The following is a 25054-nucleotide window of genomic DNA, read 5'->3' on the forward strand; positions in this document are numbered from 1 at the left end:
AGGGTTTTGGAAGTGGAAGTGGGATTCAGTGGCCAGGTTAAGAGATAGGTCATGTGGTTTCAGAGAAGGGTGAGACACCTGGCCTGTAGGAAGGTGAGACACCTGGCCTGTAGGAAGGTGAGACACCTGGCCTGTAGGAAGGTGAGACAGCAGTGTGCTGGTAAATGTTTAACAACCAGCTCTCTGGTAGCGGTTGTGGCGGCGGGGTGGGGGGGCAGAGTGGGTGCGTGCAGATCTGTGTGTGGCATTTGCCAATTTCCATGGTGTAAATATCGCAACCATGGCTGATTTCAAGTTATGACATGACACCACTACTGCTGAAGTTGGGAGAAATGTAACAATCAGCTCTCCTGGGCCAGGACAAGCCGGCTTCAAGCACTCCACTGAGGTGAAGGCAGCCTGGGGAGGGTCTGCCACACATCTAGATGATAAGTGGAACCTGGTTAGCATGGGAGGGTGGTGAGGGCATCCTAGGATACTAAAATGCTGGATCAAAGTCTGGGACCATGACTAAGCCTGTCTAAGTGGAACAAGAACGAGGACCTAAGACTGGGGAAATGGGCTGGAAACTGACTTGAGTGCTTGAAAAACAGTCCATGATGTTTGGAGTTTATTTGGAAGGTATCAGAGAAATGCTGCAGCTCTAATCCGTGATTTTTTTTAAATGGCATCTTCTGGAAATTAATCTAGAAACAACGTACAGAATTGATTGAGGTGGTGGGTCTAGAATTAAGAGAGCTGGATGAGAAATTACTATAGTCATCTAAGAATGAACGGTAGAGCAGTCAGAATGAAAAGAGAAAACTAGGTCTTAAGACCAAATGACATGAGGCCATGTGTGGTGGCTCACACCTGTAATACCAGCACTTTGGGAGGCCGAGGCGGGTCGATCACTGGAACATGAGTGCAAGACTAGCCTGGGCAACATGACAAAGTCCCAACTCTACCAAAAAAAATACAAAAATTAGCTGGGCATGGTGGCGCGTGCCTGTAGCCCCAGCTACTCAGGGGGTTGAGGTGGGTGGATCACCCAGGCCCAGGGAGGTCAAGGCTTCAGTGAGCCAAGATCACGCCACTGCACTCTAGCCTGGGCGACAGAGTGAGACCCTGTCTTAAAAATCATAAGATCAAATGACATATTATGTTTTTAAATATTCTTTTTATCAAGGGCTGGTACCAGTGCTCCGATAACACATTTGTCTTTTCTACTTCTTTTTTCTTCTTGCCTCGTAACTTTTCCTCCACTCATTTGCTTTATCACCCAACAACCTTGTCGTAACCCTCCTGCCTCTACTGAAAGTCACCAGTGGAGAGGTCAGGTTGGGTATATCGAGACGACCTGGCAAAACTGCCACAGCCACGGTCGCAGCCTCGGGGCCTCTGAACACTAGGTGGTTTCTCTGTGTCGCAAGGGCCCTGGCTTGCCTCTAATCAGAGCCAGCTATTTTAAAAACGCATATCACAAGGGTACAGAAATGTGATTGACAGAGTGTGATTCTATTCCCAGTACCTAGTAGGGCAGGGGAGGGAAAGACATTTCCTCCTAAGAATTGGCAGATCCGTCACTTAAGACGTCTTGCCACTTTAAACATCTCAACATTTAAAGGATGTCAGTATGATGGCACTCTTATTTAACAAATCTCTGTTGAGAACCTAGTGGGCATAGTTATCATTGTGATGTGTGTATTTTACGCTTTGAGAGGAGACACGAGTCATCTCTGAAAATGCCCTGATCCACAGGTATGGAGGCCTGGGTTTTTCTGCCAGCTCTGCCACTGACAAATGGGGTGAGCTTTATTCATTCAACAGAGATTACTGAGCCTGTTATGTACCAGGCCCTCGTAGGCTCGGGGGAAAGCCAGTGAACAGAAGAGACAAAGTCTCTGCCCTCAAGACACTTACCTACTTGTAGGAAGAGACAGAAAAAAAGTATATGCCAGGTGGTAATAAATGCTAGGAAGAAAAAATAAAGGAGGGTTAGAATGGTGAAGGTGGTGGCTATTATTTATATGTAATGAAACTTGGGCAAATTCTCCATCTCGCTGGACCTCAAAGTTCCCATATGTTGATTCAATGATCTTTGCCAATTCTTAGGTTATAAGGTTCCACTAATCTTGGTGTGAATTTCCACTCTGCCCCCTTAGAATTATTAATGTGCTGGTTCAAAAGTCACAGAAAACATTCTTTTAAAAAGTATGCAGATGTTTTAAAATGCATTTTATGTATAACTCTCTGTTGTGGAACTTAAAGGAGTTTACAGGTCATCTAAATAATACCTCCTCCCTCATTTTATAAGTAGGACAATGTGACCCAGAGGGCATATAGCAATTCTTTGATAGAAGTGGTACTAAGACACAGGATTTTTGTTCTTAGTGTTGTGGGTTTTGTTTGTTTGCTTGGACATCTCTTCTACAATGAAAACTCAATTTAAAAAAATTTTAGGCTGGGCATGGTGGCTCATGCCTGTAATCCCAGCACTTTGGATTATAGGCATGAGCCACCATGCCCAGCCTAATTTTTTTTTTAATTGAGTGAGACTCATGTCTCACTCAGGGCAGAAGGATTCCTTGAGGCAGGTTGTTTAAGACCAGCCTGGGCAACGTAACAGAACCCATTGCTACTTAAAAAAAAAAAAAATTAGCCATGTGTGGTGGCTGAACATGTGTAATCCTAGTTACTCAGGAGGCTGAGGCAGGAGGATTGCTTAAGCCCAGATGTTGGAGGCTGCAGTGAGCTATAATGACACCACTGCACTGCAGCTTGGATGACAGATTGAGACCCTGCCTCTAAAAAAATACATCTTGGTAGTAGAAAAAATACTTTTAAAAGCATCTTTTTTAAAGTTCAGGGGTACAATTGCAGGTTTGTTGCATAAGTAAACATGTCATATGGGTTTGTTGTGCAGATTATTTCATCACCCAGGTCTTAAGCCCAGTACCCATTAGTTATTTTTCCTGATCCTCTCCTTCCTCCCACCCTCCACCCTCTGAGAGGTCCCAGTGTCCGTTGTTCTCCTCTATGTGTCCACGTAACTTCCTTTACGTGCTATATTCCTCCAGAAAGCAGAAAAGAAATGGGAGGAAAAAAGGCAAAATCTGGATCACTATAATGGGAAAGAGTTTGAGAAGCTCCTAGAAGAAGCTCAGGCCAATATCATGAAGTCAATACCAAATCTGGAGATGCCGCCAGCCACAGGCCCACTGCCAAGGGGAGATGCCCCAGTGGACAAGGTGGAACTTTCAGGTAAGTTCCGGTCCCACAGCAGGAATATATGGAGGTACATGGCTTTGGGCAAATACAGTGCCATCCACGACAGCACATACTCATCAACAGAACCAATGTCTCAGTTCTTACAAATCTTACAAAATGTAAAACCTGGAAGAGCAAATCCTCTGGTGTTCCTTAGATCTTTACTACTATCTCTCTCTTTTTGTTTTTTTTTTTTGTTTTTTTTTTTGTTTTTGAAATGGGGTCTTGCTCTGCCACCCAGGCTGGAGTGTAGTGGTATGATCTTAGCTCACTATAACTTCCAACTACTGGGCTCAAGCAATCCTCCCACCTCAGCCTCCCAAGAAGTAGCTAGGGCTGTAGATGTGTACACCACTGCACATGTCTAATTTTTTTTTATTTTTTTAGAGACAGGTTTCTTCCTCTGTTGCCTTGGCTGGTCTCGAACTTCTGGCCTCAAGCAATCCTCCCACCTTAGCTTCCAGAGTAGCTAGAATTACAGGCTTGAGCCACACTTGATTTCACTACTACTGTTTTATGCTAACCACAGTAGAGAAGCTGAGTTCTGTGTTAGGATTCTAGAATAATGGCCAATAAAGGAAAATTTAAATTCATAGTGTTTGCGTTTTCTATGCATTTGTGATACTTCACAGCAAGAGCTGGGAAAATATTAGGCCTGCATTTAAGACAAGAGCTTTTGCAGAAAGAAAATGGTAGCTTTTATGAGCTCTCGGGGGATATTAGATCATAAGGCAAAATTGCATTTTTTAATCAAAATTATTAGAATATGTATTTAACCAACTCAACTATGGAAGTTAAATGCCAACATGTGAATAATAATATAACTTCTAAGAATCTCAACCTATTAAATATCCTATCAGTTACAAGCCACGCGTCTTATTCTGATCTTAAAATTATGGACCCGGATGTTATTTTACTTGCAGTCTAATGTCTCTGCAGTGTCACATTCCACAGTGCCTTATCCAGCAACTAAAATTAATTTGGAAAGGAATCCCCATCTTGACTTGCATGTTGAGAAACATTAAAGTGTATTCCATTTATAACCACCGTACAGTCATCCCTTGGTATCCATGGGAGATTAGTTCCAGGACTCCCATTGGATACCAAAATCTGAGGACGTTCCAGTTCCTGGTATAAAATGGCATGGTATTTGCATGTAACCTACTCACATCCTCCCATATACTTTACGGGCCAGAACACTTCAGCAGTGTGATTCTGCTGCCTGCCTCCATATACTTTAAATCATCTCTACATTACTTATGATACCTAATACAATGCCTACACATTACTTCATTTGTGTGGATTCAACATAGTACTTGGCACAAGGCAAATTCAAGTTTTATTTTTTGGAATGTGGAGGGAATTTATATATATATATATATTTTTCCATCTGCAGTTGGTTGAATCCACAGATGTGGAACCCATGGATGCAGAGGACCAACTGCACTTGTCTCCTCCCCAGTTTTCATCCATTTCATCCCCTAAAGTTCCACTCACTGCATCCCTCCCCCTCAGTCTGTGCTAAGAGGCTTTTCTTACACCTTTCCCCACCATCCAGCTGTGTCAGGTCTGTCTAGGGTCCTGGGCGGGGCGGCTCTTCTCACACAAAGTGACTTTCCTCTCACAGTCCCCGTGGAGAATTTCTGATGGAGAAAATGCCCTAGCTCATCACATTTTTTTTTTTTTTTTTGAGACTGAGTCTCACTCTGTCACCCAGGCTGGAGTTTAGTGGCATGATCTTGGCTCCCTGCAACCTCCGCCTCCTGGGTTCAAGCAATTCTTCTCCCTCAGCCTCCCAAATAGCTAGCATTACAGGCACCCACCACCACGCCTAGCTAATTTTTGTATTTTTAGTAGAGATGGGTTTCACCGTGTTGGCCAGGCTGATCTCGAACTCCTGACCTCAGGTGATCCACCTGCCTCGGTCTCCCATAGTGCTGGGATTTCAGGCCTGAGTCACCGGCCAGCTCATCACATTTTTATCTTGTGTAATTCTGTTCTCTCTGCCCCATTATTAATTTTGTCATAGAGTCCTTTGATGTTTTATATAGGTCTCATAACTGTTCCTTCTCATGATTGAACAACAAAAACATATTACATTTTGTTCACTTACCTCATTTTGGCTCTTGATTCTATCTGATTTTTTAAATTTGCCTAAATCACTTTTAAATTACTCCCCAAGGTATTTTGACTTAGTTAAAATGCTCTTGTTTTTTCTTTTTTAATGCATCTCTGACCTGGTCTCAGAAACAGTACAGTGATGGACAGGCTACCAGAGATGTGTAAAGGTAGCATCCGTGACCTGTAAACATTAGTTTCTGTCATTTTAATTTATTTGTCATGGAGTTATCATTTTTAATGTATTTTTGTTTATTAAGGAGGCAAATTTCTAAGTGTAGAGTTTTAAATACCATTTGTATTTCCCCTTGTGTGAATTTTCTGACTACTTGGATAATGGAGGAATATGGGTAGTGATCAAAAATTGATAAAGGCTGGCGTGGTGGCTCATGCCTATAATCCCAGTGCTTTTGGAGGCCAACACAGGAGGAATCACTTGAAGCCAGGACTTCAAGAGCAGCCTGGGCAGCATAGTGAGACCCCCCTCTTTACAAAAATTAAAAAATCCGCTGGGCATGGTGGCACACACCTGCAGTTCCAGCTACTCTGGGCTGGGGCAGGAAGATTGCTTGAGCCCAGGAGTTTGAGGCTGAGGTGAGCCGTGATGGCACCACTGCACTTCAGCCTGAGTGAAAGAGCAATACCCTGTCTCAAAAATAAAACAAAAAAGGCCTGGTGCAGTGGCTCACACCTGTAATCCCAGCACTTTGGGAGGCTGAGGCAGACAGATTGCTTGATCCCAGGAGTTCAAGACCAGCCTGTGCAACATGGCAGAAACCCCGCCTGTAAAAAAAAAAAGAAAAGAAAAGAAATTAGCCAGGTGTTGTGACACACACCTGTAATGCCAGCTACTAGGGAGGCTAAGGTGGGAGGATCACCTGAGCCCCGGAGGCTGAGGCCTCAGTGAGCCTTGATCACACCACTGCATTCCAGAGTGAGTGACAGTGAGACCCTATCTACAAAATAAAAAAAATTAAAAAATTTGTTTAATTAAAAAAATCAAATCCACTTCCTCTCCAACTTTGTTCTTTGTTCTCATTTGCATCCCATTTTTTCTCTGGCCCTCCCTAAGCCAGATTCTACTCTGACATTGACCTTCAGCAGAAACCCCTCTTGCTGATACTGTTTTTTCAGACTGAGGGATGAAGTATTTGGAGGCCAAGCCAGGGGCTATGGATTTGCCTTTGGGCTTCAATTTTTTTTTTTTATCTATCCAAGTAATACTCAGCTTTTTCCATAACAAGAATGTTATTTAATAATAGTAGGTAATACTTTACATAGCATTTACACTATGCCAAGCTCAGCGTATAAGTCATTCAATCCTTATGACACCCCAGAGGAAAGTATATTATACTACCCATTTAACAGATGAGAAAACTGAGACCGAGAGAGGTTTAGTAACTTGTGCAGGGTCTTTTTGGGATTTAAATCCAGTCACTCTTTAGGGTCTATACACTTAATCCTTGCTCTATGGAGAGAACAGAAAATTTTTAAATCAGATTGCATTGGGTTTGTAGCAATATACCAGACTTTCTGGATGTTTTCTTGAAAAAAGATTATTCTTGTAATGGTGCACTGTTTTCCAGAAGATTCTCCAAATTCGGAACAGGACTTGGAAAAGCTGGGGGGAAAGTCGCCCCCTCCTCCTCCGCCACCTCCTCGTCGAAGCTACCTGCCAGGATCGGGACTCACCACCACGAGGTCAGGCGATGTGGTCTACACCGGCAGAAAGGAGAACATCACCGCTAAGGTCTGATAGGCTAAGCCCTGGTAAACTGGCCTCTGGGTTCAGATGATACCCTTAGACAAGGTTCTCTCTGTTGGAACATAAAAAGTAGTGAGGCAGAGAAGTAGTAACTCGACCACACAAGATCCCCAGGAAGCACCACAGATGGAACAATGGCAGCCAGTATGATTGGACTAGACCCAGACCATGAGTTTTATCCTTATTTTACTTTTAGCTGCAACAATATGAAATGCAAATCACAAGCTATTTCCCATGTGGGCATCATAAGATTGAAAATGAGGGTAGGAGGGGGAAACGCAAGAAAGATTATCTTCCAAAGGTAACTGAGGTGAGCTGACACCGTTGTGGGAGTCTATACAGAAAGATGTTCAATGAGCTTTAAATTCCACTTAACTAACCAAGTGTTAGCTTTCATGTTAAATGTAAAACACAATTTCCAAAGAGATGCAGTATGGGAGGGCCTTTCATGAGGACTGTATTAGTCTGTTCTCAGGGTGCTGATAGAGACATGCCTGAGACTGGGTGATAAAGGGAAGAGATTTAATGGACTCACAGTTCCATGTGGCTGGGGAGGTCTCACAATTATGGCAGAAGATGAAGGAAGAGCAAAGGCACTTCTCACATGGTGGCAGGCAAGAAAGAGATTGTGCAGGGGAACTCCCATTTATAAAACGGTCCGATCTCGTGAGACTTATTCACCACCTCGAGAACAGCACGGGAAAGACCTGCCCCCATGAGTCAATTACCTCCCACCTGATCCCTCCAATGACACGTGGGAATTACGGGAGCTACAGTTCAAGATGAGATTTGGGTGGGGTCACAGCCAAACCATATCAAAGACACTGAATGTTGAGGAGTTCCAATTATATTATAATTATTTAATCCATTCACCAAAATGACAACTTATGCAAACACAAATACAAACTAAATGCAAAGGAATAAAATAGCCTTTCAGCTATTTTCTCAGCTAAGATCTAGGAAGCAAGTGTTCTAGACAGTGAGGGACCATACGATCTGTCCCTTTTTTGCTAGCACCTAGGAGATGTTAAACCACTATCTGTTGTTTCAATCTCCCACAGGCAAGCAGTGAAGATGCTGGACCAAGCCCACAGACCAGAGCTACAAAATATCCAGCAGAGGAGCCTGCTTCAGCCTGGACCCCATCCCCACCGCCTGTCACCACCTCCTCCTCAAAGGATGAGGAGGAAGAAGAAGAAGAAGGAGACAAAATAATGGCAGAACTCCAGGTATGTGGATGAGGTGACTGACATTGGCTCCTTGCCTCCCGCCTGGGTCTCTCCAGCCATGGCACTCACAGATTTGTTAGCGAGAAGGCCAGGGAAGCGCATGGACCGGGACCATAGAAGCTGTGTCTTCTGGCCTTAGCCTTTGCTTTCCCAAGATGGCGCTGAACAAGGCTCTCAGGATGCCTATAAGATGTGCAAGGAATGACCATTTCACAAAACAACTCACGCTTTCCTACCTCTGGCTGTAAAATTGACTTTCCTTTCTTTCCATCTTAAGAGATTCTGCTTCATTTCAAAAGCAAGTAAGATAAGGATTAGAAATACCAGCCATTGTCCTGTCTTGATAAGGACAGACTGAAGGACACGTTACGTGGGTTCCCGTTCCTTGGCTTTACCACTTAGAGCCACTGACCTTGGATCATGGACTCAAGGCCAATGACTGGCCTCCTGTGGTCCATAACCAGGTCCCTGTTCAATATCAATGTCATCTTTTCAGATATTCTGAAAAGCTGAATTATTTTGTTTTCCATTTTCCTTGGTCTATTTGAGAAATGATACTGTATCAGTTTTAGATATTTATTTTTTAACTATGACACAGTCCACTCATAGGATGAAGGATGGCGTGCCAAGGCTGTGCCCAAAACTGATCCCACATTCCCATCACGGATGTGATTCTACCCCAGGTCTATGTCCTGAGAACTTGTCTCATCAGAGACATATAAACAATTCCTAGAACAAACTTTGTGTAGAGTATTTCATTTGCCTCATGCTTCTTATAGGATTTTTCTGTCAATCAGATAGTTGGAACACCAGCACCTTGGGGCTCAAAAACATGTTAGCTTTTTACCGACGTACCAATGGCTTTGTGCCAACCCATAAATTTTCCTCTTTTCTTTGGAGTAGGGAGAATTTTCAATCTACATTGTTTTTACTGCACTTGTTCTACTCTGGTTTCCATGGTAATAACTGCCAAAATTGAGCTGCCTGGATTTTGCAGGGAAAACAGAACTGCTGGTTGATTTGTCACATACGTGAGCCCTTTCACACTTCACTAAAACTCACAGACTAGCCTGGGACATCCCCGCAACCAATCAGGCTATTTGCAGGTTTTTAGAAGGCTTGGATAATTGTTTTCATAGGAACTACAGATTTATAAAGCTGGTATCTTTCAGGCTTGTGGATAATTTTTTACACCTCTCTAAGAGAAATACTAAATTTGTTGCAGCCACTTACAGCCCACCACTGAGGGACACTCTTCTCCATTGAAGTCTAAATATTTGATGCCCTCTTTGACCACTGTACAGACATTGGCATATCTGGCTTCATGTCATATTCTTGGTGGTTACATAATAAAAGTGGTGGCCAGGCATGGTGGCTCATGTCTGTAATCCCAGCACTTTGGGAGGCTGAGGCGGGCAGATCACCTGAGGTCAGGAGTTCGAGACCAACCTGGCCAACATAACGAAACCCCATCTCTACTAAAAACTACAAAAATTAGCTGGGCATGGTGGTGGGTGCCTGTAATCCCAGCTACTCGGGAGGCTGAGACAGGAAAATCACTTGGACCCGGGAGGTGGAAGTTGCAGTGAGCCAGGATCACACCACTGCACTTCAGCCTGGGTGACAAGAGTGAAACTCTGTCTCAAAAAAAAAAAAAAAAAAAAAAGCGTGGTGAATGAAGTGCTCTAACCTTAACTTAACCAAACCCTGTTAGCCCTCTGGCTGGGATAGAAACCCAGCCTGCTAAATCCGCAACTCGATCAATGGCCAGTGGCCATAATGATTCTCTTGTTTCTGCACCTTCTCAAGGCAGGACAAGGAGCAGCTGTGGCCCCTTCTAAGGACAGTTGTGGAACCACTTTCTGTGCTCCACATCTCCAGGCATCAGAAGAAAACACAGGCTCTGAAATCGAGGGTCTAATAGCTCAAAGGAGATGGCAATTGGCATTTGTAAGCAGCTTTCTAAGTAAGCGGATAAACCAAACACATCCGGGGCAAGCTAGGACTGGTATGACTAAGGAACAGCAAGGAGACCAGGTACAGCAGAGACAGGGGAGCAAACAGTCATGGAAGAAAAGGCCAGAGAAAGTCCCTCATCAGCCACCTTCAGATTTTAGGACCAGTGTTGGAATGTTTACTGAGGGAGGACATACATTATTCTTTCTGCTGGCAGAGATATCTCCAAATGACAACATTTGACATAAAGAAAACACTAGGCAATTATTTAGGCTGATTCATTTAAATAAGTGGTCTTTCACCAGGCACAGTGGCTTATACCTGCAATCCCAGCACTTTGGGAGGCTGAGGTGGGCAGATTGCTTGAGGTCAGCAGTTTGAGACCAGCCTGGCCAACATGGTGAAACCCCATCTCTACTAAAACTACAAAAAAATCAGCCAGGCGTGGTGGCGGGTGCCTGTCATCCCAGCTACCTGGGAGGCTGAGGCAGGAGAATTGCTTGAACCCGGGAAGCAGAGGTTGCAGTGAGCTGAGATCTCACCACTGCACTCCAGCGTGGGCGACAGGGAGAGACTCTGCCTCAAATAAATAAACAAACAAACAAACAAATAAAAATAGTTTTTAATCCTAGCTGCACATTAGAATTACTTTGGGAGTTAAAAAAAAATCCTACAGCTCAGAGATTCTGATTTGTGTATTCTCTGAGTGGGGTCTCAAGAGTATTTGAGAACAACAGTATTTTTTTTTTAACCTGGGTGGTATATAGCCTGGTTGAGAACCACTGTTGTCCATAAACTTGGGTCCCTGAGTTACCAGTCTCTCCTTCTCTCATGATCATATTATCTGGGCATTGCCCACATGCCCGCTTCCTTTTTAGCCCTGTAGACACAGTCTATGTCTATACTTTCTCCCTTTGTCTGAGAACTGACCTTCCTGACTGAAGTTCACAAGAGCCAACAGTTGGCTCTTATAGTTTTCAGAGACAAATCTCCAGGGTTCAGGCAGCTCCTAGGCCACTCGGAATGACATCGTTGCTTAAAAGCATCACTTTACTCTAAATGAGCCTCAGAACACCTCGGAGCGCGGTAGTACCTGTTACTATTTCAGAGAAGGATTGCTAAGAGTACTTTTATTGTAAGACTTAAAGGTTTAAAACGTCTTGTGAGCTTTTGCTGTATAATTTCAATAAAACTCATAAAAAAAGAGGAATAAAAAAGAAAGATAGTTTTTTGTTTTAATTTATTTACATATTGAGCATTTTTTAAATGTCAAAGCAAGAAGCCCTCCTAAGTACCAATTTATGTTCACCCCAGACAGGCAGAAAAGGTAGTAATGTCTATTTTATCTTGGCATTCCCCAAGAAAGGAAGGCAGCCTTTGCCTCGGACTCTGCCTCCAAGCCAGCTTTGTCAACATGAGAGCACGTGAGGAGCAGGATTTCAGGGTGCTGCCTCCCTGGCCTAAACCTGCGTGCAGGACCCGGGTTGGGGTCCACAAGCGTCTGGTTGTTCCTGCCTGTTTCCCTCCATTCTCCTCAGTACCCTTGGATCCCTGTTAACCTCAGTATTTTAATTCCTTAGGCATTCCAGAAGTGTTCCTTTATGGATGTAAATTCAAACAGTCATGCTGAGCCATCCCGGGCTGACAGTCACGTTAAAGACACTAGGTCGGGCGCCACAGTGCCACCCAAGGAGAAGAAGGTAACGTGGCAACTGCACATTTGCCACACGGTTGGGAGTCCTTCCTTCCTTGCTCTGACACTAACACGGCTCTTATACTCGACCTTTGTCCCCTCTGTCTTTTTTCTCTCTCTTTTTTTTAACTAATGGAGACACAGGCATAGGTTAAAATCAGAGATATCTTGCTCAGGTTTTCAGAGCAAACACTGTGTTCCAGCCCACAGCATACAATAGTATATGCAGAATTTAGACACTATCTTCCCAAACTAAAGAGTGAACACCTTTCAGTACTTTCTAGAACAACTCTAGAAAGAAATATATAGAAACAGCAACCAAGTATTTAGCAGTTTTTCTAATTTGTAAGACCCTTTGGGAAAAAAAGAAAAACAACTATATATGTTAAGAAAAATAGGTAAAAATCGGCTGGGTGCAGTGGCTCACGCTTGTAATCCCACCACTTTGGGAGGCCGAGGCAGGTGGATCACCTGAGGTCAGGAGTTCGAGACCAGCCTGGCCAACATGGTGAAACCCCATCTCTACTTAAAATACAAAAAATTAGCTGGGTGTGGAGGTGGACACCTCTATTCTCAGCTACTCGGGAGGCTGAGGCAGGAGGATCGCTTGAACCCAGGAGGTGGAGGTTGCAGTGAGCCGAGATTGCGCCACTGCACTCCAGCCTGGGCAACAAGAGCAAAACTCTGTCTCAAAAAAAAAAAAAAAGTAAAAACCTTTGATTTGGGAAAGAAAATGCATGGTAGAAAGTATCTACCACCACACACTGGTGTAACCTCATGGAAACATACAAATGTGTATTTGCACAAACGTCCAAGGATGCCAAACAGAATTTTTGCTAAGTATTATCCATTTATAAAGTGTACCTTCCAAGATAGTAAGTTCAGTATAGTTTTAGTGTTAACATACATGTGTGATGTCAAAAAAAGAATCCAGGCTCTGAAACAAAGTCTGCTGTCATTGTATAAGTAAGCACTCTAGGGAAACGACCATAGCCTGAATGTTTGAAATGCAACTTTAAGTTGCACCTAGAGCATCTCTGATTTTCAGATATAAAGACATCTTACTTGAATTAAGCTTCCATCTAAACTTCAGGATAAAAAGCTTGCAAGGCCTAACATTTTTCTCCAGGGACTTATCTTTCAGAATTCAAAGATTCTAGCTTTCCTTAAACAAAATCAAACTAATCAGATGCAAGAGAGCCCAATAGCTACTACAGATGGGTACCTCAGTCCATGTACGACAGCTCAAGGAGGTAGATGTAGTATCACAAAACTGAAAGGCTATTCTAACACAACCATTCAAGAGACACAGTTTTGGGCTCCCAGCTCCCAGCCAAGAGGCCTTGCCAAGGAGGCCAGCTTGCTTCCCCCTGGCTCATAACCACCACGGCACCCTTGTGTAAACTCTCTGCCACATAAATTGACATGTGACACTGTTAATGGGGGAAGGGAATCTCGCTATATCCAAGGGGGGTTATTGTTGATAAATGTTTCTCATGAAGAAAACCTGGCCTGGCATGGTGGCTCACACCTGTAATCCCAGCATTTTAGGAGGCCAAGACGGAAGAATCACTTGAGGCCAGGAGTTCAAGACCAGCCTGGGCAACATAGTGAGATGAAAGAAAGAGAGAGAGATATGGAGGGAGAGAGGGTAGGAGGGATGGAGGGAGGGAGGGAGGGAGGAAGGAAGGAAGGAAGGAAGGAAGGAAGGAAGGAAGGAAAAAGAGAGGAAGGAAAAAGAGAGGAAGGAAAAAGAGAGGAAGGGAGGGAAAAGAAAGAAAACCTACTAATTTGAACTGAACCCATGAAACCATGTTGGAAATATATTGATTTTTATTGTTTTTGGTTTTTTTTTTTTTTTTTTGTGAGACCGAGTCTCACTCTGTCACCCAGGCTGGATTGCTGTGACGTGGTCTCGGCTCACTGCAACCTCCGCCTCCCGGGTTCAAGCAGTTCTCTGTTTCAGCCTCTCTAGTAGCTGGGATTACAGGCGCCTGCCACCATGCCTAGCTAATTTTTGTATTTTTAGTAGAGATGGGGTTTCACCATCTTGGCCAGGTTGGTCTTGAACTCCTGACCTCGTGATCCACCCGCCTCAGCCTCTCAAAATGCTGGGATTACAGGCGTGAGCCACCGCACCCAGCCGGAAATATATTGGTCTTTTCAGTATGTGGAATTTCCTTATGAGGGCTTATTAAAACTAACTCATGGAAGGCCTGGTATAGCATGTTATACTTAGGCTAATGTGACCATTTCTGTCTAGAACACTGACTGGGAATTTGGACTTTCTCAAAGATCCCTCTGGAGACCATTATTGTCTCATTGTAGAATTTTTCTTTTCTTTTCTTTTCTTTTTAATTGAAATGGAGTCTCGCTCTATCACCCAAGCTGGAGTGCAATGGCGCCATCTCAGCTCACTGCAACCTCCCCCTCCCCGGTTCAAGTGATTCTCGTGCCTCAGCCTCCCGAGTAGCTGGGACTACAGGCGTGCACCACCACACCCGGCTAATTTTTTTGTATTTTTATTAGAGATAGGGTTTCACCTTGTTGGCCAGGCTGGTCTTCAACTACTGACCTCAGGTGATCCACCCGCCTCAGACTCCCAAAGTGCTGGGATTACAAGCGTGAGCCACCGTGCATTTCTAATTGGCTAGAAAGTGGCATGAGATTTCTTGCCCCATAATTAGAAATCCATATCCCATTGGTCTCATTTATCTCAGTTGAGGATCCACTGGCTAATAAGCAGGTCTTTATTGAGTGCCCAACACTGAGTTTAGTCACAGGTGCTTATTCTGGATAATTAATCTCAGTAGATTAACCTTCTTCAGAATGACCATGTATATCAGACTTCTCTTATCCCCAATTCTGGGTCCTTATTAACCTCTTCCAGGGCTAAGTATTTACCCTTCCATAAATCGGATGTTTTCTTAAGCATTTTTTCTCCTGTCATCACTGAAACTCCAGCCTAGTTCTTCACTTGTATGCAATTTTCTTGTAACCCTGTCTCTCGTTTTGGTTTATTGTCCATATGCCTATTGAGTGCTTTTCCAGTTGTCTTCATAATCCAAATCCCAGGGCCTATAAATACATATTAAAGAGGCATAATTACCTTTCACCCAGAGTCTTGACCATCTAAGACTAAGAAATCACTGTGAGTTTGCATGACAATTATGACCAAGCTCCTGCACTTGCTTTGATACATTCATTCATTTTTTTCTAGCCCAGTGATAAAAAGTATAGGTCGTGTGAAAACCAAACTTCACATTTTTATCCTAGTGACTTTCCATTAGAGCATTTATGCTACTACTCAGTTTTAAAATACATATATTACAGGGGGGATTTTTGAAATTTATTTATTTATTTTTGAGACCGAGTCTCGCTCTCTCGCCCAGGCTGGAGTGCAGTGGTGCAATCTCAACTCACTGCAACCTCCGCCTCCTGAGTTCAAGCAATTCTCCTACCTCGGCCTCCTGAGTAGCTGGGATTATAGGTGTGTGCCACCACGCCTGGCTAATTTTTGTATTTTTAGTAGAGACAGGGTTTCACCATGTTGGTCAGGCTGGTCTCGAACTCCTGACCTCATGATCCACCCACCTCCACCTCCCAAAGTGCTGGGATTACAGGTGTGAGCCACCATGCCTGGCCTGAAACGTTTAATGATGGGAATGGCACAGGCCATGACCAACCAACAGACACCAGCCCTAACCTCCAGTAAATAGACCCCCAGAACATCTGCCACGTGTGTGTCTTTAGATCACATGCCAAATCCATCCACGATTCAGGGGGCAAATTCTCATTTGGGTCCTAGCATGATATGCTGACTCCATATTTGGAGTTGTAACCTTAGGCTGAAACCTTTTTTTTAAATTCATTTACATATATATATACATATATTTTGAGACAGAACCTTGCTCTGTCGCCCGGGAGGCTGGAGGGCAGTGGCACGATCTCAGCTCATTGCAACTTCTGCCTCCCAGGTTCAAGCGATTCTCCTGCCTCAGCCTCCCACGTAGCTGATATTACAGGCACCCGCCACCGTGCCCAGCTAATTTTTATATTTTCAGTAGAGATGGGATTTCACCGTGATGACCAGGTCGGTCTCAAATTTCTGACCTCAAGTGATCCACCCACCTTAGCCTCCCAAAGTTCTGGGATTACAGGCATGAGCCACTACACATAGCCTATTTTTATTTTTTATTTTTGCGTATATGTGATGGAGTCTTTGCCATGTTGCCCAGGCTGTTCTCGAACTCCTAGACTCAAGCAATCCTCCTGCCTCAGCCTCCCGAGTAGCTGGGATTACAGGAAGCTCAATTATTTTTCTTCTTTAAAACCTTTTACTTGACGTATTCATTGTTTCATATTTTAAATTTAAAATCCCACAAAAGAAGCCATGTGGCTCCGCTGCAGCAGCCGAATCATGGCACTTGTTTGGGGGCTTCCTGGGGAGCAAGCAGAAGTAAAACAGGAGGTATTTGGTGGCTCGTGTACCTTGTACTTTGCACAGTATTTGCGTGTGATTAATTCTGACTGCGTTGTTTGTGTGTCATTCCTCAGGCGTGTATGAACAGTCTTTCCATTCTTAAGTAAGGTCATAGGGGTTGCTCTGGGTTGACTTTGGCTGGGCCCGGGTGTTTGTGCTTTGTGTTGTCATTGCTTTAACCAAGCAGCCTTCATGGGAATTGTGCTCCATCCTGCTATAATCAATCACCTCAGCATGAAGAAAGGGCAGCAGTGCCTTGGAACCGACAAGGCATCACTAGTGTTAGTGTTATGTCAGGGCCTGAGGCTACTGATACACCTTGGGAAAGGCCAGGCCTCCAGGTGAAGCGCCTTGAATACCTGGGTCCTCACCACTGGATCCTTCACTCCTGAATCTTGGTGAGACCCTAAGACATGTATCTTCAGTCTACACTGGAAAATATAGAGAATGAAAGCTGAGTCGTGACGTCACCGTCACCAATGTAACCTCAAATATCTGCTTTGTGAATGTTTAGGTTCTATTGTAACAGCATGATGGATATGAACCAAGGTTCTATTGTAACAGCATGATGGATATGAATTGAGGTTATATTGTAACAGCATGATCACTCTGAATTTGGATTTGGTCATCGTGGCTATGAGGAGTGTGAAGGTTATTTTGGCACTTCGACACCTGCAGTACAAACTGCATTTCAATCTGTCATTTGATCAGGGGAAAATAATGTTTTTTCGTCCCCAAATGCCAAACCCAACCAAGGCAGATGTCTTTATAGGATAATCTCCATAACAGAAGCAGAGGGAGGACTGAAATAATGAGCTGTAAGGGGAACTAAAATTCCCCTGGGCTGGTTCCTAAGTTTATAGGCAAGAAAACTGAGGCCAAAGAAGTAAAGTGACTTATCTAAAGTAACACAGTTTAGTGGCAGATCTTGATTAGGATCAAAACTTTCTGTCAGCCCATACATTGTGCTTTTCACAATTCTTCAGGTTTTAAATTCTGCTAAGCTCACAATCTGATGTTGAAAAGAGGACATGTTAGTAATGACTCTGTCCCTTTATTTTCTTCACCACTCCCCTACAAAATTTTAAATTCTTGAAATCTTTTGCTAATTGAGATTTTCATCTTGTGCAAACACAGGGCATTTTTGGCAGTTGGAGAACAAAGCAATCCAAGGTAAACAGCTGTAGGCTTTGGATTGGTGTGTAAGAAATATGCGTGGCCCGCATGTCTTAGAAATGTAATTAAAGGAACGATTTAGTTATAGTCCACTTTTTTGGGGGGATGTGGTTTTGTGGAGTAACATGTCCTACACTATTCTACCAGAATTTGGAATTTTTCCATGAAGATGTACGGAAATCTGATGTTGAATATGAAAATGGCCCCCAAATGGAATTCCAAAAGGTGAGTTCACCAGATCTGGGTTCCGACCAATACCATGCACATTAAGTACCTGCCTCTGCAGATCCATTGCTGATTAACGTGTGTGGTTTCCCTCCTCCGTTCTCCCTCTCAGGTTACCACAGGGGCTGTAAGACCTAGTGACCCTCCTAAGTGGGAAAGAGGAATGGAGAATAGTATTTCTGATGCATCAAGAACATCAGAATATAAAACTGAGATCATAATGAAGGAAAATTCCATATCCAATATGAGTTTACTCAGAGACAGTAGAAACTATTCCCAGGAAACTGTGCCTAAGGCCAGTTTCGGTTTCTCTGGCATTAGTCCATTAGAAGATGAAATAAACAAAGGGTCTAAAATCTCAGGCCTGCAATACTCTATACCTGACACCGAGAACCAGACGCTGAATTACGGAAAGACAAAGGAGATGGAAAAGCAAAATACGGATAAGTGTCACGTTTCCTCTCACACTAGACTAACAGAATCAAGCGTGCATGATTTTAAAACAGAAGATCAAGAGGTTATCACGACAGATTTTGGCCAAGTTGTTCTAAGACCCAAGGAGGCAAGGCATGCTAACGTGAACCCTAATGAGGATGGAGAATCAAGTTCAAGTTCTCCCACTGAAGAAAATGCAGCCACTGACAATATTGCCTTCATGATTACCGAAACCACTGTCCAGGTTCTTTCCAGTGGGGAGGTGCATGATATTGTTAGCCAAAAGGGAGAAGACATACAGACGGTTAATATCGATGCCAGAAAAGAGATGACCCCCCGACAAGAAGGGACTGACAATGAGGATCCAGTCGTGTGCCTGGACAAGAAACCAGTGATCATCATTTTCGATGAGCCCATGGACATCCGGTCTGCCTATAAGAGACTTTCAACTATCTTTGAGGAATGTGATGAGGAATTAGAGAGAATGATGATGGAGGAAAAGATAGAGGAGGAGGAAGAGGAGGAAAATGGGGATTCTGTAGTCCAGAATAATAACACTTCCCAGATGTCTCATAAGAAGGTGGCCCCAGGCAATCTTAGAACCGGACAACAGGTGGAAACAAAGTCACAGCCACACTCCCTGGCCACAGAGACCAGAAACCCAGGAGGACAGGAAATGAACAGAACGGAGCTGAACAAGTTCAGCCACGTGGATTCTCCAAATTCGGAATGCAAGGGTGAGGACGCGACCGATGACCAGTTTGAAAGCCCCAAGAAAAAGTTTAAATTCAAATTCCCTAAGAAGCAACTCGCCGCTCTCACTCAAGCCATTCGCACCGGAACTAAAACAGGGAAGAAGACTTTGCAAGTGGTAGTCTATGAAGAAGAGGAAGAGGATGGCACCCTGAAACAGCACAAAGAAGCCAAGCGCTTCGAAATCGCTAGGTCTCAACCTGAAGACACCCCTGAAAACACAGTGAGGAGGCAAGAGCAGCCCAGCATCGAGAGTACATCTCCGATTTCAAGAACTGATGAAATTAGAAAAAACACCTACAGAACATTGGATAGCCTGGAGCAGACCATTAAACAGCTCGAAAATACAATCAGTGAAATGAGTCCCAAAGCCCTAGTTGATACCTCATGTTCTTCCAACAGAGATTCTGTTGCAAGTTCATCCCACATAGCCCAAGAGGCCTCTCCCCGACCCTTGCTAGTTCCGGATGAAGGTCCCACTGCCCTAGAGCCCCCTACGTCGATACCTTCAGCTTCACGTAAGGTATCTTGGTCTGCTGGAAAATGAAAAGACCCAGCTGCTTTCCTAAATCTGCCATAATCACCATTAGTGAAAGGTGTCTTGTAACTTAATTGCTTTCTTTCAGGTGGCTTTTTTTTTTTTGTCTGTTCGCCATGAAACCCTTCTTTCATACTTTCTCCCTCACCTTCCAAACAACAACAACTAGGTATCTAACAGCTAATCAGTTCTGTTTTTGCCTCTGTTGCTGACTGGTGTTGGGTAAACACGAGGCTGCTGGGTCAGCCATGTGCTGTTGAAATGGTTGCTCTGATACTCACATTAAAATCCGTTTGATCAGTAGTGAGCAGTTGATTCTGTTTGATTCTTCTGATTAACCCCAGTTGGTGTCTCCTAGATCTGTCCTGCATGTAGGGCTGTGGCTTCTCACCTTGAGCTTCTCTGCACATCGTGGGGCAGCCTCACAGATGACCTACTCATGCGCTTCTCCTTCTCTTCCCCCTCTCACTGGTCCTTCCCACAGGGCTCCAGCGGGGCCCCACAGACGAGCAGGATGCCTGTCCCCATGAGTGCCAAGAACAGACCCGGAACCCTGGACAAACCCGGCAAGCAGTCCAAACTGCAGGATCCCCGCCAATATCGTCAGGTAGTTTTACCTTAAACCCACTTTTGGATGGACGCTATTTCAGTTAAGCAAGTCACTGACTTAGTTTATACCAAATATTGTGCTTTCTTTGTAAGATAACGGTTTACATAGACATCCTGGATCTGGGGGCATGAAGAAAGTCTAAATAAACCTTTGTTACACTTTTTTACCACGCTTTTGCATGCTTGCAATAAAACATCTTTTACTTTGTGACTCCAAACTCCAAATTTTAACTGTTAACACACGGTGCCAGACCAGGTGGCTTTTCTTTGGTGAATGTAGTGTTTCATCTGAACACCTCGGGAAGCAGAGACAAACCAACCTGTGGTTGAACTGCCCTTAACGTCACCACTACTAACGTCTATGTTGACTGTATTGTGTTAGAAGCACATTAACACTCCGTCACAATGCCCGACCCCCACCCCAGTAATTATCCAGACGCATGGCCCACCTGGCACACAGGAAATGGTAGAGCTGGAATGATGGGACTCCTCTCACAAATGTATTCTTCCTTTCCTCCTTTCCCGTCCATCCTTTGCTATGTACATGGGGGGTTTCTACCAGGTCCAGTAGAGCACAACAAGACTTAGCTCAGGCCTTGAACTGTGTTTGGTTGGTTTTCTTTGATTGAATTATTCTCAGAAGGGCTGTGTTGCCAGGCCCTGTGGGTTGATCATGTGACCGCCTTTCTGACAAAATGTCTCCCGCCATCTTTATTTGCAGGCTAATGGAAGTGCTAAGAAATCTGGTGGGGACTTTAAGCCTACTTCCCCCTCCTTACCTGCTTCTAAGATTCCAGCCCTTTCTCCCAGCTCTGGGAAAAGCAGTTCTCTGCCCTCTTCTAGTGGTGACAGCTCTAACCTCCCTAATCCACCTGCTACTAAACCATCGATTGCTTCTAACCCTCTCAGCCCCCAAACAGGACCACCTGCTCACTCTGCCTCCCTCATCCCTTCTGTCTCTAATGGCTCTTTGAAGTTTCAGAGCCTCACTCATACAGGTAAAGGTCACCATCTTTCATTCTCACCGCAGAGTCAAAATGGCCGAGCACCCCCTCCTTTGTCATTTTCCTCCTCCCCTCCTTCTCCTGCCTCCTCCGTCTCACTGAATCAAGGTGCCAAGGGCACCAGGACCATCCATACTCCCAGCCTCACCAGCTACAAGGCACAGAATGGAAGTTCAAGCAAAGCCACCCCATCCACAGCAAAAGAAACCTCTTAAAGGTCAAATCCTATTAGGCACAAGTCGGAGTTACATTTAAAAAAAATTAACAGTCTACAACAACTGTTTTCACAAGAGAATGTAACATATTGCTGTATCGTTTGAGGCTTAATGCTAAATATGTGCTAAATACTGGATTAATAGATTTCAGTAAAGCTCGTTCGTTTTGTTTGGTTTTCTTTTTACCTAGTTGCTATAGTGTCTACAGTCTATACTCAATACCTATAAAATGCAGTAAGCATGTGTTACAGAAAGAGGTTCTGGTGGGAGAGAAAGGTGCGTGTGAGACAGGAGAATTGTCTTAAGCATATAAAACATGTATGATTCCAGAATTTTAGTATGTTTTGTATAAAACTATTTTTCATTACGGAGACTAGAAGTGAACAGAGAATTACACAAGTGTGACTATACAAATTGTAAAACAGATACTATAATATTTCCTTTTATTTTAGTGTTATTTAGCTTTATTACAGATTTCTATTTTTGTCAAAACTTCATGGTTCCTTTCAAGATCTTTTTTGCCAAAACATTTTGATACTATAGCATTGTACATTTGAAAGTAGTGTTCTAGACTATAAAACCAATGAACTTCTACATGAGCCCTACAGACAGGCATGTGTAGAAGGCAATTTATCAAACCTATTGCACTGCCATGAAAAGTGTGTATAATAATTTGCTAGCCCAAGCAAGCTAGTTTTCTTTGCTTGCTTCTTTTCTTTCTTTTTTCCTTCCTTTTTTTTTTTTTTTTCTTTTTTAACATGTTGAGATTCTCTAGTTGTTTTCTTTGGCGTATCTAACCCCTTCTTTTGTTTTCTGAGACCTGGTAACCCACGCTCTTGCATTGTGGATTTTAAAATGTATACTCTGTACGGTTCTGTAAACCGAAAAACTTTTGTAAATATATAAATATACATAGACATAAAAATACTGTATGTGACAGCACATAGAGTAGTTTTCCCACACCAAAGTTAATTTTTATGCATGCTTTAAAAGTATATATCGGGACCGGCAGAAATGGAAGTATCCATACATTTTTAAAAAGCAACAAGTTTGCACAGCTAGAGTGTTTTTGTAAATAAATGTATTTGTATAACACAGTCATGTAATATACAGAACTATAAGCAGAGACTTTGCAAAACTAAATAAAGGGCTGCATGCTTATTATTTTTTGTACCTTGTCACTATAACTACTTCCTAGTCAAAGAACGAAATGTAACTGTTACCGAGTTAAATGTTTTTCCGCTTTGAGGGATGTAACCACATCCACTCAGAGGACACTACTTTTCTGAAAGCTCTGGGGTGACTAATGATGAGTTCCTAATAAATTAATTGCAAGTGTGGTGCCTTGGATGTGGCCTGTTGGCTCGCTTTCTTCTCTGTGGCTTATCAAGGTGTAGATGACAGAAAGCAAACCTGGATACAGAGTTTCCACCCTCAGTTCCTGGAGGGGCTCTTATTATTTTCTCTCTTTTTAAAAAACTTCCAGTAGAAGTAAAGTGGAAATAAAATGTCTTTATCACTTGGCTTTTTTTCTTTTGAGTCCTCAACTTAAAAAATTATTGTTGGCCTAGAGGGAAATACGCTTACACCATATGTTTTCATTTGTTAAAATGGGAAGAAGCCAGGCACGGTGGCTTATGCTTTGTAATCTCAGCATTTTGGGAGGCTGAGGCAGGAGGATCACTTGAGGCCAGGAGTTCCAGACCAGCCTGCGCAATATAATGAGACCCCATCTCTACCAAAAATAAATAAATAAATTTAAGTTAGGTGGGCATGGTGGTGTGTGCCTGTAGTCCCAGCTACTCAGGAGGCTGAGGTAGGAGGATGGCTTGAGCCTGGGAGGTGGAGGCTGCAGTGAGCTATGATCACACCACTGCACTCCATCCCAGATGACAGAGCAAGACCCTGTCTCAAAAAAAAAAAAAAAAAAAAAAGGTGTGGGGGAAGAAAATTAGTGAAAACAATACCAGGATTATGAATTAACCACAGGAACAATCTCAGGAAACTACTTAGATTTTTCACCTCAGAATGTTTCATTTGGTGATTTCATGTAAAAAGCAAATATTTTTGGAACTCAGTTGTTCAGTGTTTCTGAGTTTCAGGCTTTCTTACTTCAGGATGCCTCCGCCAGAAATATTCATATCTCTGTTCATTATGTTAATGGCAGTCCCGTGTTTCAGGTGGCACTTAGGAAAGTATTTAGGGTCCAACATTTCAATCATGTCCCATAATCACCTTAATGACATTATATTCATTTATATATAAATATATCTCATAGCTAATTCATGCCAATTTATTTGCTTCTGTTTATGGACAAGCTGAAAATTCTTTATAAGCAGCAAAACAGCAGATGGTGGGCTCACTTTTTCAGTTTAGCTTCAGGCTTCCCAGAGAGCTCTGACAAGGTCACAGAGGTGATGGTAGTTTCAGCCAATGTCGTGAAGGATGGGACATGTTCACCCGGTAAGGGAAAACTCCACACAGTCCCATCCACTGCCCTGAGATCCGAGCCAGTGCTGCCTGCCTCTTCAGGAAACTGGAGGAGAAACTACCATGATTGGAGAAACCAGAGTCAGGTGTTGCAAAGACTTCCTATCACAGCACAGACCCAGGAGGTGCCTGTCTAAATTAGTGCAATATAGCTCCTGCCTTGGTACCCATTTTTAGGCCTGACCTAAGTATTTATTGAGACGGAGTCTTGCTCTGTCGCCCAGGCTGGAGTGCAGTGGCACGATCAAGGCTCACTGCAACCTCTGCCTCCTGGGTTCAAGCAATTCTCCTGCCTCAGCCTCCTGAGTAGCTGGGATTACAGGCGCCCGCTACCACACCCGGCTAATTTTTTGTATTTTTAGTAGAGATGGGGTTTCACTGTGTCAGCCAGGATGGTCTCAATCTCCTGACCTCGTGATCCGCCTGCCGCGGCCTCCCAAAGTGCTAGGATTACAGGCATGAGCCACCGCACCCGGCCAACCTAGTTGTTTGAAACCTTGTACCCTGCCCTCTATGGCCTCATTAAAACTTCGCCTCCCAGTGTGGTGGTTTGAAAAATACAGCCCAGGCTCCTTCCTCATCCCACCAACCAAAAACCCAACATGCCCCACACCTGCGGGCCCGTGGTAAAACCTGATGATTAATACCAGAGTCGTGTCAATAAATTTCCCCTGCGCACGTGTTTTCTTGAAACTAACCAATCCACGACCCCCATGGGAAAGCCTAAGGGGTAACGCCCCTGGACCCTGATAGAAGCACAGCCCCTCAGGCTTGCTCACTCTCACTCTCTCCCCACCTCTTGGTTGAGCTCTGCTGTCACTGCCTCCAGACCTCTCATGAAGGCCCCGCCACCACCCTCCCTGGAATCTGTAAGTAAGATATTTCCTCTGTTTGGTGCATTTTTGGTTTCGCCTCCTCACTTGTGCCTTAGCTGACCAACACACCCAAACCTAACTGCACCCCACCCCATCAGGGCTTCCCTAAAGAGGGGCTATCTCGGCTTATGGCCACTCTCGACAGGGAAACCTCAAGACCAAGTTAGAAACTGTAACAATAAAAACTCACGATAGCACCTCGGTTCTTTGAATATCTACAGTGAATGATGTTGGGCAGGAT

General features: G+C 43.8%; 1 protein-coding gene and 1 long non-coding RNA gene across 55 annotated transcripts in view, besides 2 other annotated features; one reads left to right on the plus strand and one right to left on the minus strand.

Annotated features, from left to right (window-relative positions):
- KIAA1217 overlaps positions 1-22967 on the plus strand; it is an 853117-nt gene extending 830150 nt beyond the window's left edge. For 11 of the 54 annotated variants that reach the window (NM_019590.5, XM_047425495.1, XM_017016417.2 and 8 more), the window contains 8 exons: positions 3060-3243; positions 6954-7117; positions 8194-8361; positions 11898-12017; positions 17817-17894; positions 18007-19605; positions 20105-20227; positions 20951-22967. In NM_019590.5, the coding sequence (NP_062536.2) occupies positions 3060-3243; positions 6954-7117; positions 8194-8361; positions 11898-12017; positions 17817-17894; positions 18007-19605; positions 20105-20227; positions 20951-21448 (2934 nt within the window). In that variant the 3' untranslated portion in view covers positions 21449-22967. Of the gene's footprint in view, positions 1-3059; positions 3244-6953; positions 7118-8193; positions 8362-11897; positions 12018-17816; positions 17895-18006; positions 19606-20104 lie in introns of all 54 variants that reach the window. The other 43 variants (XM_047425513.1, NM_001282768.2, XM_047425517.1 and 40 more) reach the window with 12 other exon arrangements.
- On the minus strand, positions 596-1940 carry LOC124902394 (uncharacterized). The gene is made up of 2 exons (XR_007062089.1): positions 1903-1940; positions 596-686 (listed from the first exon to the last, which is right to left on the minus strand). It is a non-coding gene; the product is annotated as an uncharacterized LOC124902394 (long non-coding RNA).
- Positions 7273-8472: an enhancer, noted in NCBI's record as "BRD4-independent group 4 enhancer chr10:24821078-24822277 (GRCh37/hg19 assembly coordinates)". NCBI's record gives its function as "activates an origin of replication core promoter dependent on BRD2, P300/CBP, MED14 and CDK7 cofactors, and independent of BRD4, by STARR-seq in HCT116 cells {active_cell/tissue: HCT116}" and the evidence as "EXISTENCE:reporter gene assay evidence [ECO:0000049][PMID:35650434]".
- Positions 16484-16778: an enhancer, noted in NCBI's record as "tiled region #10635; HepG2 Activating DNase matched - State 5:Enh". NCBI's record gives its function as "activates a minimal TATA promoter and a strong SV40 promoter by Sharpr-MPRA in HepG2 cells {active_cell/tissue: HepG2}" and the evidence as "EXISTENCE:reporter gene assay evidence [ECO:0000049][PMID:27701403]".
- Positions 22968-25054: the final 2087 nt, after the last annotated feature.

This window comes from Homo sapiens, chromosome 10 (genome assembly GCF_000001405.40).
Source record: "Homo sapiens chromosome 10, GRCh38.p14 Primary Assembly".
NCBI lineage: Eukaryota > Metazoa > Chordata > Mammalia > Primates > Hominidae > Homo > Homo sapiens.